This window comes from Homo sapiens, chromosome 10, assembly GCF_000001405.40.
Source record: "Homo sapiens chromosome 10, GRCh38.p14 Primary Assembly".
In the NCBI taxonomy this organism is placed as follows: domain Eukaryota; kingdom Metazoa; phylum Chordata; class Mammalia; order Primates; family Hominidae; genus Homo; species Homo sapiens.
Genome location: NC_000010.11, coordinates 6,030,942 through 6,044,151, shown reverse-complemented (window position 1 = coordinate 6,044,151; position 13,210 = coordinate 6,030,942). Strand labels below are relative to the sequence as shown.

Below are 13,210 nucleotides of genomic sequence, written 5' to 3'. Positions count from 1 at the left end.
TCTAGGCTTAATCATTGTGTTGAATTCAGCTGCTGAGGACTGAGAGGTGATTTGGATGATTGACTTCATAAATAAAATTGGGAGTTAGACTTTCCCCGCTGTGGACTTGCCACTGAGTTTGGGGAGAGGGGGGTTTCTTTCTCTGATAAAGTTCCACATCCACAGACAGAAGGAAAAGGCCCTGAACTAATCACTTCCTTTGGAAGAAGCTTTGGTAAAGAATTAACATTTGGGAGGTTGTCAAGAAAAACCTATTTGTTCTATAAATATTTAAAAATTATTAAAATTTCAACCAATACAGAAAAACACAAAGATTAATATAACCAACATGTGCCCATCATCAGGATTCAGTAAATGTTTACAGTTTACCTTGGTTGTTTCATGTCCTTTTTGTTTATTTTAAATACATGCTCTTGTCGTGCGTGATGGCTGATGCCTGTAATCCCAGCACCTTGGGAGGCCGAGGCAGGTAGATCACCTGAGGTCAGGAGTTCAAGACTAGCCTGGCCAACATGGTGAAACCCCATTTCTACTAAAAATACAAAAATTAGCCTGATGTGATGCAGGCGCTTGTAATCCCAGCTTCTTGGGGGGCTGAGGCAGGAGAATCACTTAAACCTTGGAGGCAGAGGTTGCAGTGAGCCCAGATCTCGCCATTGCACTGCAGCCTGGGTGACAGAGCAAGACTCCATCTCAAAAAAAAACAAAACAAACACAAACAAAAACAAATAAATACATGCTGTAGATACAGTGGAGCTCCCTCTCGGTCCAACCCAATCTCATTCTTCCCCTCCAGTAATTGCTCTCTTGAATCTGGGCTGTATCTCATGATGCAATATACACTACTGGTTTGTTTTTTATTTTATACATAAATGCATAATATACTGTTTCTATTTGCAACTTTGCTTTTTTCACTCAGCAGTGTTTCTGAGATTCATTTTTGATGTTTATTCTTTTTAACAACTGTACATTATTACATTGTATAATAATACAGAGTTCTTGATAATGCCAAGTTTATTAATCTAACCTTCTTTTGATGGACAATTAGATTGTATCTGATTTTTCCCTATTACAAGCAATGCTCTAATAAACAGCCTTGAATGTGTGCACATATGCAAGAATTTCTCTAGGAATATACCTAGAAGTGAGATCACTGATCCTAGAACATGGACAGCTTCAATTTTACTGCTATATTTAAAATGTTCTCTTTGAAATCGCTATGCTAATTTATAATCCTCATCAGCAATTTATGAAATTTCCTGAATTCCTCACATATTCCTCATCATCACTTACCATAGGGAAATTTTAACATTTTTTGCCAATCTGATAATATAAAATAAAATCTCATTACTATCTTAAGTTTCATTGATACCTGGTGATATTGAGAATGCTTCCACATGTTTTTTTGGTCATCTCTGTGGCCTCCTTGTTCATATCCTTTGTCCCTATTTTTATTGGGTTGTTGGCCTTTAACTTATTGATTTGTAAGTCTTCCTTATGTATTACGGATACTGAGTCTTTGGATAAGTATAGATTCTTGGATCTTCTAAGTAGACGTTATTACTTATAAATGACAATTTTATTTTTTGTTATCCACTTCTTATTCCTCTAATTTCTTTTGCTTGTTCCATTGCATTAGCTGGGGTGTTCAATACAGTATAGAATAAAAGCAGGAATTGTATATGTTTCCACCATTAAATAGAAGGCTTTTAAGGTATCACGTACATGTTATTTTCTGTAAGCTTTCAGTGTCTACTGTCTATTGGTTAAATAAGTTTCTTTTTATTTCTACTACCTTAAAAGTTTTTTTTCTTTTAATCAATAATGGATATTCTTTTCATCATCATTAGATGCTCTTCTTCATCTATTAAAATGATTGTGTAGGTTTTCTTCCTTTATACCATAAAAGTATTTAAGTACATTGAGAGATTTTCTAACGTTAAACCATTCACTATTGCTGGGATAAACTCTGACTGATCAGAATTTTTTTTTTTTTTTTTTTTGCTTAATACATTGCTAGCATCAGGTGCAAATGTGTTAACATTCTCCAGTTTGACTGTAGAATTAATTTCTTTTTGTAATTCTTCACCTTATCAACCATATGTATTGTTGAGTGTATACATGTTCAAGATTATCATAACTTCCAGAATAATTTTTATTTGTGAAAATGCCTTTTTGATCTAGTTTCTCTTATGTTATTGTAGCTATGGAGCTTTCTTATATCTGGCTACCTTATCAACAATATGTATTGTTGAGTGTTTACAGGGTCAAGATTATTATAACTTCCACAGTGATATTTATCTGTGAAAATACTTTTTTGGTCTAGTTTCTCCTGTTACTAAAGCTATCGAGCTTTCTTTTGGTTGCTAAATATCTGCATATAATGTGTTTTCCAGCCCTTTAGTTCAACCTTCACATGTCACTGTATTTTAAAGACGTCTCTTGACATAACAAAAATAGACCTTGTGCAGGACTTTGGGGGAAATTTTTCCCCCTCAATCAGAATACCTCTGTCTTTTACAAGCAAGCTTAATTGATTTATATTTATTGTACTACATTTGGACTTATTTATGCTATTTTACTTTGAACTTTTATTAACCATTATTTTTCTTTTACTGTTGTATTTATCTTTTCTTGTCTTCTGTTAAATTGATTGAGTTTCCTTTATTTTCTCTTTTCCTTCTACTGGTTTGTGTATTATATGTTTTAATTCTACTTTTAGAATTAAGTCACCATTGGCCGGGCGCAGTGGCTCCCCCCTGTAATCCCAGCATTTTGGGAGGCCGAGGCGGGTGGATCACGAGGTCAGGAGATTGAGACCATCCTGGCTAACACAGTGAAACCCCGTCTCTACTAAAAATACAAAAAAATTAGCTGGGCGTGATCGTGGGCGCCTGCAGTCCCAGCTACTCGGGAGACTGAGGCAGAATGGCCTGAACCCGAGAGGCGGAGCTTGCAGTGAGCCAAGATTGCACCACTGCACTCCAGCCTGGGAGACAAAGCGAGACTCCGTCTCAAAAAAAAAAAAAAAAAAAGAATTAACTCACCCTTTAAGTTCTCAAAGTACTCGTGATGTTAAAAGTCCACAGTTAATTAACATCTCTCCCAGTTCCAGGATCTTCTGTTCAGAACTTAGCACATTTCTGGCAACTAAGGATTGACAACTGTTAAAAAATATCATTTCCCATTATATTTTTGGATTGGTTGTTGCTGATATATAAAAAATGTTGAATTTTATAAATGAATTTTCTATCTGGCCACCTTATGAAACTCTTAATAGTTCTAATACTTTAACCGTCTTGGGTTTTCTAAGTACTTAATTAAATTCCTCACATAGAATGATTATTTTTATCTTCTCTTTTTCCAACAATTGTATGCCTTATCTATGTTACCAGTTTTATCAGATCACTAATAACGAGGGTTCTTTTAAAGTCAATTGGAGTGAGAAAAACCCAAAGATGCCATTAAGTCCTTGAGTGTCTTTGGGGAAGAAAAGGTAGGTTTAGGAAAAGAGAGACAAAAGGCAAAGTGAACAACTAAGACAATACCATGTATTGCAAATTTAGGTGTGATTTAATGATGGCTAAGAAAAAATTCTAAATTATATATAAAAGTGTATTCGTATATAAGGTAGTTTAAATAAATAACAGGTAATGTGGGCAGGCAACAACCATCAAAAATGACTGGAAATATTCAAATTCAACCATGGTGATTTGGTTGGCAGCAATCAGAGAATTGACTATGCTTCAGTAGATTGAAATCCGTTATAATCTATTAATGTGAATACAGGTGACAGGAAACAACCGAATACAGCATTCTCATAAATAGTTCTTAGAATATGAATTCAAAAGAAACTCTATTTCCTCGTTGTGACACAATCAAGCTTTAAGCAATGAACGCTTTAATTATTGTTTTTCAGCTTAGAAAGTAACTATATATTTTATCATTGGGTTCTAAAAACAACACCGCTCAAGAGGTCATTGTAGCAACAATCAAAATTTGTGGAGCATTTTACAGATTTCAATGTCACTTATGTTATTTCAACTGATCCTCATATTTCCATCCTTCATACCCTCACGATTCATGCTTCAGCAAAACATTCTACCTGTAGTCTCTTGTATCTTCCATATGATGATGCTGTTTTACACTTTTACACATTCTCTGCCAGAATGGCCTGACGTGCCTAACCTTCCAGTTGAACTCCCACCCACCTTTCAGGCACCTTATAGTTAAGAGCAGCCTTCATTCTGTTGCCTGGCTCATGGGCAGGGGCAGGATTCCCAGCAAGGGGTACTATGTCAAGAGGCCTAAAAGGACATATCAGCATGGTAAAAGGAAATGGCTTGGGGTGTATGAGAAGCTCCTATGGTTACATGATTGGGAGGAATTCTTTTCATTTCGTGTTACAGACGGAGCATCTGAAATGAGAAGGGACCACAGTGAGCCAGTGAGTGAAAGAGGAGGAAGATTCTGACACCCAGAGCTTTACCTTCAACATTTCCTTCTGTTTATTCCTTATCTAGACTTCCATTTTCCTACCCCATAGATACCCACTCTTTGCCCCTAACTTGCCTTCAACTCCTCTACTGCCTTGTAAATGTCCCATGTGTGCTTGAAAAAAGAGTGGGCTCTGCTATTGTTGGAATCAAATTTGTTAATTGTGGTTATCACATTTGATTGTTCTTACTGATTTTCTGTCTGTCCTATCCATCATAAAGGAAGACACTGTTAAAATTTCTCATTATGATAGTAGATTTCTAAATTTATCCTTGTTTTGTCAATATTTGCTTTGTGTATTTTGAAGTTATGTTATTGGGTGCATAGAAGTACGTAAGTGTTATGTTTTCCTGATTCTTGATTTGTATATTTTGAAGTGATGTTTTTGAGTGCATACACATATAGCATTTTTATGTTTTCCTGGTGAATTGAATCTTTAGCAATACGTACTGACTTCTGTATTTCTATTAATGCTTCTGCCTTGAAGTCTGATGTTAATATAACTCCTTGGATTCAATTGTCCATTCTTTTAGTTTCAAACTTTTGGAGCATTTATGCTTTAAGCATGTCTCTTATAAACATCATATAACTGCATATTTTTAAAAATATATGCAGTCCAACATTCTGTAACTGCAGGGTTAATCTATCCACATTGATAATTATTACTGATATAGTTTGATGAATTTCCACTGTCTTATTTTGTTCTTTATTTTTTACCTTCTCTTTCTATGCATTTCCCCCTTCTTTTGATTTAAGTAAGTTTTTATCCTATTTTATTTTCTTCCAATAGCTTGTAAGTTATTCACTTTACTCTGTCATTTTAGATGTAATTTTTAACATCTTAACATGAATCCAGACTTTACAAAGCCTAGATTTAACCAATATCATAGCCTTCCTCTCAAATAATAAATAACCTTAGAACAAATTGCCTCCACAAACCTTTTCTACACAGTTCCCTCCTCTTCCTCCTTGCTTCTTTGTGCGCATTTATGTTTGCTATTTGAAAGAATTTCCTGAAAGTAAAAGTGAGATTTTTTAGAAGGCTGACATGAGGGCAGCAATAGTAGACTTTCACGTGACTCCTGTCCCACCACCTTGAGCTGTGTGGTTTAGCCAACTTACTTAATCTCTCTGAACCTCAATCTCTTGCTTTCTAAAGTGGGGATGACAGTATCTACCTTCCAGAGCCATGGTGAGCATTGAAGGTAATATATGCAAAGAAGCAGCACATAGGCAGGGCTCAGACATCATAGTTATTATTATATAGATAACCCCAAATGGAGGGCCTGGGCCCTCTGACTTCTTCAAAGATAATAATCTGAACTAAACCACAACATCACACAAACACCTCCCAGCACCCAGATAGTTTAGACATAGCTCCACCTCTTTGTAAGAGATAACCTTCAACAGATAGGTGAAAAGCACGCTCCTTCCTGAAGATTATGATTCTGGGTGTTGGAAAAGCACTGAACTAGGAGTCAGGGAACCTGGTGATCTGTTGTAATCCAAGGCTTGCCACAAACTTGTGGAATGACCACAGGCCCAGTGTTCTTATCTATAAAATGTAGAGGTTGGCCTAAATGATCTTTGAGCTCTCTTCTAGTTCTCATATTCTATGATACCATTAAAAGGGATGTTCTACATCCCTTTTGCACCCAAACCACTTACTTTCTATACGGCCTAAACTTCTGGTTTGGGTTTCCCAAGGAAGCGAGAGACAACCTTCAATATTAGGCATATCTTTGGAGTTCTTATTAAACAGTAAACCTCACCTCACTATCAAAGATAGCCTCTGGCTCCAGCGTCCTCTTTCCAGTCTCCCACAGAGATTTCCTCTGGGAGTCAACGAGCTTAAGGTGAAATTTGGCTAGGGGTCTGGGAGGAATTCTTTTCATTTCATATTACAGACAGAGCATTTGAAATGAGAAGGGGCCACAGGGGGGCAGTGAGCGGAACAAGAGGAAGATTCGGGTCTCTGACACCCAGAATCTATCTGATTCTGACACAGAAGATGAACCGCGTTAGAGCAAGAACCAGATCCCTCTTTACCCAGTGGCCCAAGCTCTTGATGCGTACCTGTGTCCCTTGTAAAGCTCAGTGAAATCATCACCTAGACATTTCCTGTGCTCCGTGCGTTATTCTAATCTTCACTGGGTACAAGTAGAGCTTAAAGTTCTGATATATGGACAGGAAAGAGAAGAGGGATGAAGCCTTTATCCAGGGCTGGCTGGGCTAAGAGTAAAACAACTTCACCTGGATTCACCCAAGGGGCAAAGAATCTTATCTCAGACTCGGTCCACATCTTTATCAGCCCCCTTTTCCCTTTATCTTTCATGTTGCTCACATGGGCTCCAGGGGCCAGATGAGTTTTCTCTTACTTTGAACATCAGAGAAAAAAAATAACGACAAAAAGTTACTCAACCGACAAACGTTTCTCACCCACACACCTTTCCTCCAGTCAATGACGTTTCCACTGCACCCTGTTAGACGCTGAGTGAGGAAGCATCTGGGCACAAACCGCTGTGGATGCAGATTGAGCAGCACTCACTGTGCACTGGAGGGATGGGAGTCCTGTCCTCACCCAGGGGGCAGATGGAGAGGGGGCAGAGAGAGCAGCCGGGGCTTCACTCCCTGGAAACTCTCATACTCCAAGTGCGGCCTGGGGCTCTGCAGCCCCAGCATCATGTAGGAGCTTGTTAGAAATAGCCTCAATGTCCACACCTGCCCTGACAAATCCCAGTCTGCAAGATCCCGGGGGCTCTGCACACACGCTGCTGCGAACAACCTCAGCATCCGTCCTGCCGGCTCTAGAGCAGCCAACCGGGATATCCTTCTTCTTCAGCAGTGGTGTCCGCTCTCTAAAATGACTGTCCCCCACATCTCTTTCCAGGGTTGGTATTTCTGGTTAACTCAAGGGACACAAAAATAGCTCAGGGAAAAATTAATTTTCATTCTACTCCAATTCTAATAATGAAGTGGTAAAAATTAAAGGGACAGCTTTCAGATTATGGGAGTGCAGCTGCGGGTATGTGGCAAAATCGAAGAAAGAGGGCTCATAATTCCACGTCAGGGAAGAGCCGCTGGCCTGCCCAGGCTGCTGTTTATCTTTACTGTGAATGGGGCCTCTTTTTTGTTTGTTTGTTTTGTTTTGTTTTCACTTAACCTCAGTGGCAAGAAAAATGGGGCCTCTTGCCAGGAGGAGCAGAGAGTGACGCGGAAGGCAAAGACCACCTCATTTCACCAAGTTCCTCGTCTTTTATTTGAAATCCAAGACATAGAAGCTGCACATTTGTCCTTCTGGGAAGAGTGACGAGTGACTGAGAGTGGAGTCGAACACTCGAAAGGAGAGAGCAGGTGCCTGGGAGTCAGAAAAGCTGGCTTGAATTCCTAAATCTGTCGCCGTTTGTCCTGGGTGAGGTCATTCTGGTCATCTGTGGCAGGAGGACTACAAATGCCTGGCTTTTCCCTTTCTAGCGGGCACACAAAGAGACAGAGAAGTTGAATCTTTAGCAATCCATTGAAGGGGAAACCCCACAATGCAAAGAGAAGCATTGTCGAGGGCCCTTCACCTGCACCCTCTGTTCTCCCAGACCTGTTCCATGATGCATTCCAGAGGAGGTGGCTCTCCGTCACTGTCACTTGCGATTGCCAAGGCGTCAGCCAGACAAGGCAAAAGCTCCCAAGGGATGTTACCCTTCAGCTGCATACAGAACTCCTAGAGGCAACAAATCCACAAGGAAAGATACACCCATGATCGTGTATTTCAGCCACAATGATGGAGGTGAGGTGGAAAAGGACGAGGAACAAGTGGGATTCTGCCCATGTCTGTCTAATGAGCATCCACAGCAAACTCCAACGGAAGATGTGAAACACGCTCAACACTAGAAGAACTCGGTTTGACTCTGTCTTGGTGTGGGTCCCAGGCCAAAGCCCTCGGCATTTTCAGGATTAATGATCACTGCTGGCTGTCTCTTTTTCCCTCTGCCCACATAAAAGGCACAAAAACTAAAGAGGAAGGCCACATCACCGCAGAGCCCGTGGTTCAGGATTCTCCTCCTGGGAGCCCCGATTTCTTTTCTTTTCTCACCTTAACAGTGTCCAGAGTACTTTTATTGCCAGAATAGAGATATAGCCTGCTCAGAGCCTCATGTGCGGCCCACCACTCAGGAACAAAGGGAGAGACAGATACTAAGCATGTGTGCAACAGAGAAAATCCAGCCCACGAAACCGTGTGCAAGAGCAGCTCCGTCCTGCCTGAATGTGGCTTTGGGAAGCCCACCTAGAACTTGGCCTGGCGCCAGTCACCCACTCAGAGCCTACTGCCATGAAGGCAGGCCCTCACTCTCCATCCCTGCCCACACAGGGAGACCCAGGGCAAACAGAAAGTCCCCTAGCGGGGGCCCAAGGAACCCCTGGCTCTCTCAGGGTCCCATTCAAGTTTCTGGGCTAGTCTTGCAGACTAAATACCACTCAGTTGCCTGGTGGGAGTAGGTGCTGGGCAGGGTGGACAGGAGCCCCACTGCTTCTCAGCCCTGTGCCAACCCCTTTGTGTGAGACCCTAGTGCAGGGTGGGGAGCCCCAATTTCTAAGCCTTGAGTGTTTACCACCCTACACCCCCACCTCCAACTCCCGAATTGATCATCTCAAATTTTCCCACAGTCCATAGGCACCAGACACTTCAAATAATCTCAGAAAAGAAGGTGATGTCTACATCCAGAATCGTGCCAATACTTTAAAATTACAGGGAGAAAAATATTCCCCTTCCCCTCTTCTAAGGAAAATTCTGTCTGCCTCCCAAGCTCCCAGGTCCCTTGGTGTGAGCTGGGGGAGTGCGTAGAGCTAGGAATTGGAAAATATTCCGGGAGAGAATGATTTATGTTGAGAAGACCCATTGGGAGAAGCAGGAAGTGGGTCTGGAAAGACAGGAGGAAGTGTAAAGGCAGAGAAAAGCCCTTGTTAGCTGAATTTTGAGAAGTAATTTTTGGCATTGTTAGTGAGTAAAACTAGAGAATGAGGACAGTTGTATGCTGTCTTAAAAAATAAAAGAATGATAATATAGGGAAAGATGATTTCAACATTTTGGAGTCATATAAGTGGAATCCTCCTGTTATTACTGTGCAAGACTTTTAGACAAATTATTTTTTATTCTTTTTTTGGATGTTGTTCTGTTGCTGCTTTTATAACACTACACTGAGAAGGGCTAAAAAAAAAATCCCAAATTTATTCCTATTAGATTGAAAAAGAGCAACCCTCCAGCGTACCTTTCCACACACTCTTCTACCTCCTGCTGCCTTCAGGTGATGTTTGGCACTTCCTGACAAGGCCTTTCAGGGAAAAGGATTATAGCCAAGCTCTTTAGTGGTTACTGAGCTACAGACCTGGAGGTGTCAAGATCCTAAATTCCAGGAAAGATTCTTTATGAAAGGAAAGTCTGTGAGAATAAGAAGTTCTGGAACTTCCCCTTGTCCCCGCATGACCTCTTCAGACACTCGGGCTAATTTATGATGACTCTGAAAATGCCCATGACCTCATCTAGAAAAACGCACTCTCATGGAATTCAAGAGTTTCTAAGGGCACAAAATAGCTTCCAAGACAATTTGTTTCCTTCTTTTCAAATTGATGTGTTTAGAAATGTTCTTGGCTTGTGATTGACATCTCAGATTCCAAAAACATCTGAGGTCAATCCTGGTTATTTGTGCTAATGAATAATTACAAAAGAGTAGCTAAATATGCTTCTCGCTCATTTTGTTGAGCTAAAATTACTTATAAAGAAATGCATAGATCTGCGGCATACAATTTGATGAGTTTTGACAAATGTGTACAGCTGCAAAAACGTTTTCATCACTTCTGCCTTCTGGTCAATACCCACCTACCACAAGAAACCACTGTCTGCTTTCTATCTCTGGATATAACTTTTGTCTTTTTGTGAACTTCATATAAATGAAAGCAAAGTGTATGCACTATTTCGTGTTTAGCTTATTTTGTTCAACATAACATTTTTGAGATTTATCAATATTGCCTGTATCAATAGTTCATTATTTTTTATTTTTGAATGGTTTCTATAGTATGACTATATCATAAGCTACTTGTCTGTTCTCCCAATGATGGATGTTTGAATTATTGAGTTGGTTATTATTAATAAAGCTACTATGTACTAGAATGGAAGGGGCTTAATAAAAGAAAGAAGTTACTATAAATATTTTATAAAAGTCTTTCTGTAGACACATCCCTTCATTCCTCTTAGATAAATACCTAGAAGTAGAATTGCTGAATTGTAGGGCAGGTATATATTTAACGTCAATAAAAATACTTTCTTTTTTTGTTTTTTTTTTGTTGTTGTTTGTTTGTTTCTTTGTTTGTTTTTGAGACAGAGTCTCACTCTGTTGCCCAGGCTGGAGGGCAGTGGCGTGATCTCAGCTCACTGCAACCTCTGCCTCCTTAGTAGAGAAAGGGTTTCGCCATGTTGACCGGGCTGGTCTCAAACTCCTGACTTAAAATGATCCACCTGTCTCAGCCTCCTAAAGTGCTGAGATTACAGGCGTGAGCCACCATGCCTGGCCAAATACTTTCAGATAGTGTTCCAAAGTAATTACATTACTTACACTGCCACCAGTAACATAAGAGAGTTCTGGTAGTTCTACTTCCTCCCCAGTATTTGACGTATCAGTCTTTTATCCATTTCCTCCATTTCCCCAATGGGCTATCTCATCATTGTTTTCAACTTGCATTTTATTGATATCTGATGTTAAATACACTTTCAAGTGTTTATTGATAGTCGTGTATCTTCTTTGGGGAAGTGATTGTTCAAGTCTTTGCCCATTTATTGGGCTGTTTGCCTTTTACTCTTGCTTTGTTTTTCTTTATATATTCTGGACACAAGTATTTGTGACAAATATATATATTGCAAATATTTTCTCTCAGTCTATCATTTACTTTTTCATTTTTTTCTTTTTTTTTTTTTTGAGATGGAGTCTCGCTCTGTCACCCAGGCTGGAGTGCAGTGACGCGATCTGGGCTCACTGCAAGCTCCACCTCCCAAGTTCACGCCATTCTCCTGCCTCAGCCTCCCCAGCAGGTGGGACTACAGGCGCACACCACCACACCCGGCTAATTTTTTTGTATTTTTAGTAGAGACAGGGTTTCACCGTGTTAGCCAGGATGGTCTCCATCTCCTGACCTTGTGATCTGCCCGCCCCGGCCTCCCAAAGTGCTGGGATTACAGGCGTGAGCCACCACACCCTGCCTACTTTTTCATTTTCTTAATGTCTCTGGATGAGTAGACATTCTCAATTTTTTTCTTTTATAGTCAGTGCTTTTGCATCCTCTATGAGCAATCTTTGCCTATCTCCAACTTGCAAAGTCATTTGCCTTAATTTTCTTCTGAAATCTTTTTAGTTTTGCCTTTTATGGTTACATCTATAAGATATAGACCTAGTACATAGATCTTTATCTTTATATATATAATAAAATTAATTCTTGCATAAGATGTGAGTTTTTTTCTCATACATTTATCCATTTGCTCCAGAAGCATTTGTCGAAAAGATTTTTCCTTTCTCATTGAATTTCCTTGGCACATTTATTTGTTTAAAAAAAAAGCAGTTGAACAAACATGAGTTGAGTCCATTTCAGGACTTTCTGCTCTGTTTCATTACTGTTTGTCCTTATGCTAATACTACGCTGCCTTGATTTCCATAGTTTTATAGAAAGCCTGAATATCAGATGTCATGAATCCTCCAAATGTATACATCTTTACGATTGTCTTAGATATTCTAGGTCTTTTGTGTTTCTAAGGAGCTTTTAGAAATAACTTCCAAATTTGTACTAAAAAATTGTGTTGGATTTTTAAACTGTAGTTGCCTTGAATTAATTGATCAATTTAAGGTGAATAGATTTTTTAAATGAATGTTACAATCTATAAAGATAGTATATTTTTCCATTTGCTTAATTCTTTTAAAATATGTCTCAGCAATATTTCAGAGTTTTCAGTTTAGTGGTATTACAAGTTTTTGGTAGGCTTATTTACAAACATTTTATGTTTTTTGATGTAATTGTAAATACAATTGTTTTTAAATTTTTAATTTTCTAATTGGTTGTGTCAGTATATAGAACTAACTACAAGTGATATATATATACATATATATACATATATATATATATATACATATATATATATATATATATATATATATATATATATATGTATATATATATACTGAAATTGCTAACTTGCTAAATTCTGGTAGCCATTTTGCAGATCCCTCAGTAATTTTATGTAAACAATCATGTTATCTGAGAATAATGTTCCTTATCTTGAAATCTACTTCCTGATATTAATATAACCATACCAGCTTCCTTATGCTTATCTTTGTAGATTATATCTTTTTCTATCCTGTTTTCTCAACCCATCATTTTTATTGTATTTAAAGTGTGTTCTCTTGAAGACAGCATATAGTTGGGCCCTGCTGTTTAATCCAGTCTGAAAGTTTCTATCTCTTAAAGTATGGATTTTTGTCCATTTATATTTAATGTAATTACTGATAGGGTTGGCTTCAAGTCTACCTTCTTGCTATCTGTTTCTTAGCTGTTCCTTTTCTATTTTTATTACTCTATTCTTCCTTTTCTCTCTTCAGTTTGGCTAACCAAACAAATTTAATATTCTTTTTAGCTACACTCTTTGTGGTATTATTTGGTGGTTTCTCTAGGCTATTCAGCA

At 38.9% G+C, this 13,210-nt stretch overlaps 1 protein-coding gene and 1 long non-coding RNA gene across 4 annotated transcripts in view, besides 1 other annotated feature; one reads left to right on the top strand and one right to left on the bottom strand.

Moving 5' to 3' along the window:
* The window catches only part of IL2RA (interleukin 2 receptor subunit alpha), a 51,679-nt gene that overhangs the window by 18,216 nt on the left and 20,253 nt on the right, over positions 1–13,210 (top strand). The gene's annotated exons all lie outside the window — the stretch shown is intronic.
* Positions 5,588–5,647: a silencer, noted in NCBI's record as "silent region_2095". NCBI's record gives its function as "represses an Ori minimal core promoter by ATAC-STARR-seq in GM12878 lymphoblastoid cells {active_cell/tissue: GM12878}" and the evidence as "EXISTENCE:reporter gene assay evidence [ECO:0000049][PMID:35858748]".
* IL2RA-AS1 (IL2RA antisense RNA 1) lies at positions 7,730–8,742 on the bottom strand. Its single transcript, XR_001747349.2, has 2 exons — positions 8,090–8,742; positions 7,730–7,967 (listed from the first exon to the last, which is right to left on the bottom strand). It is a non-coding gene; the product is annotated as an IL2RA antisense RNA 1 (long non-coding RNA).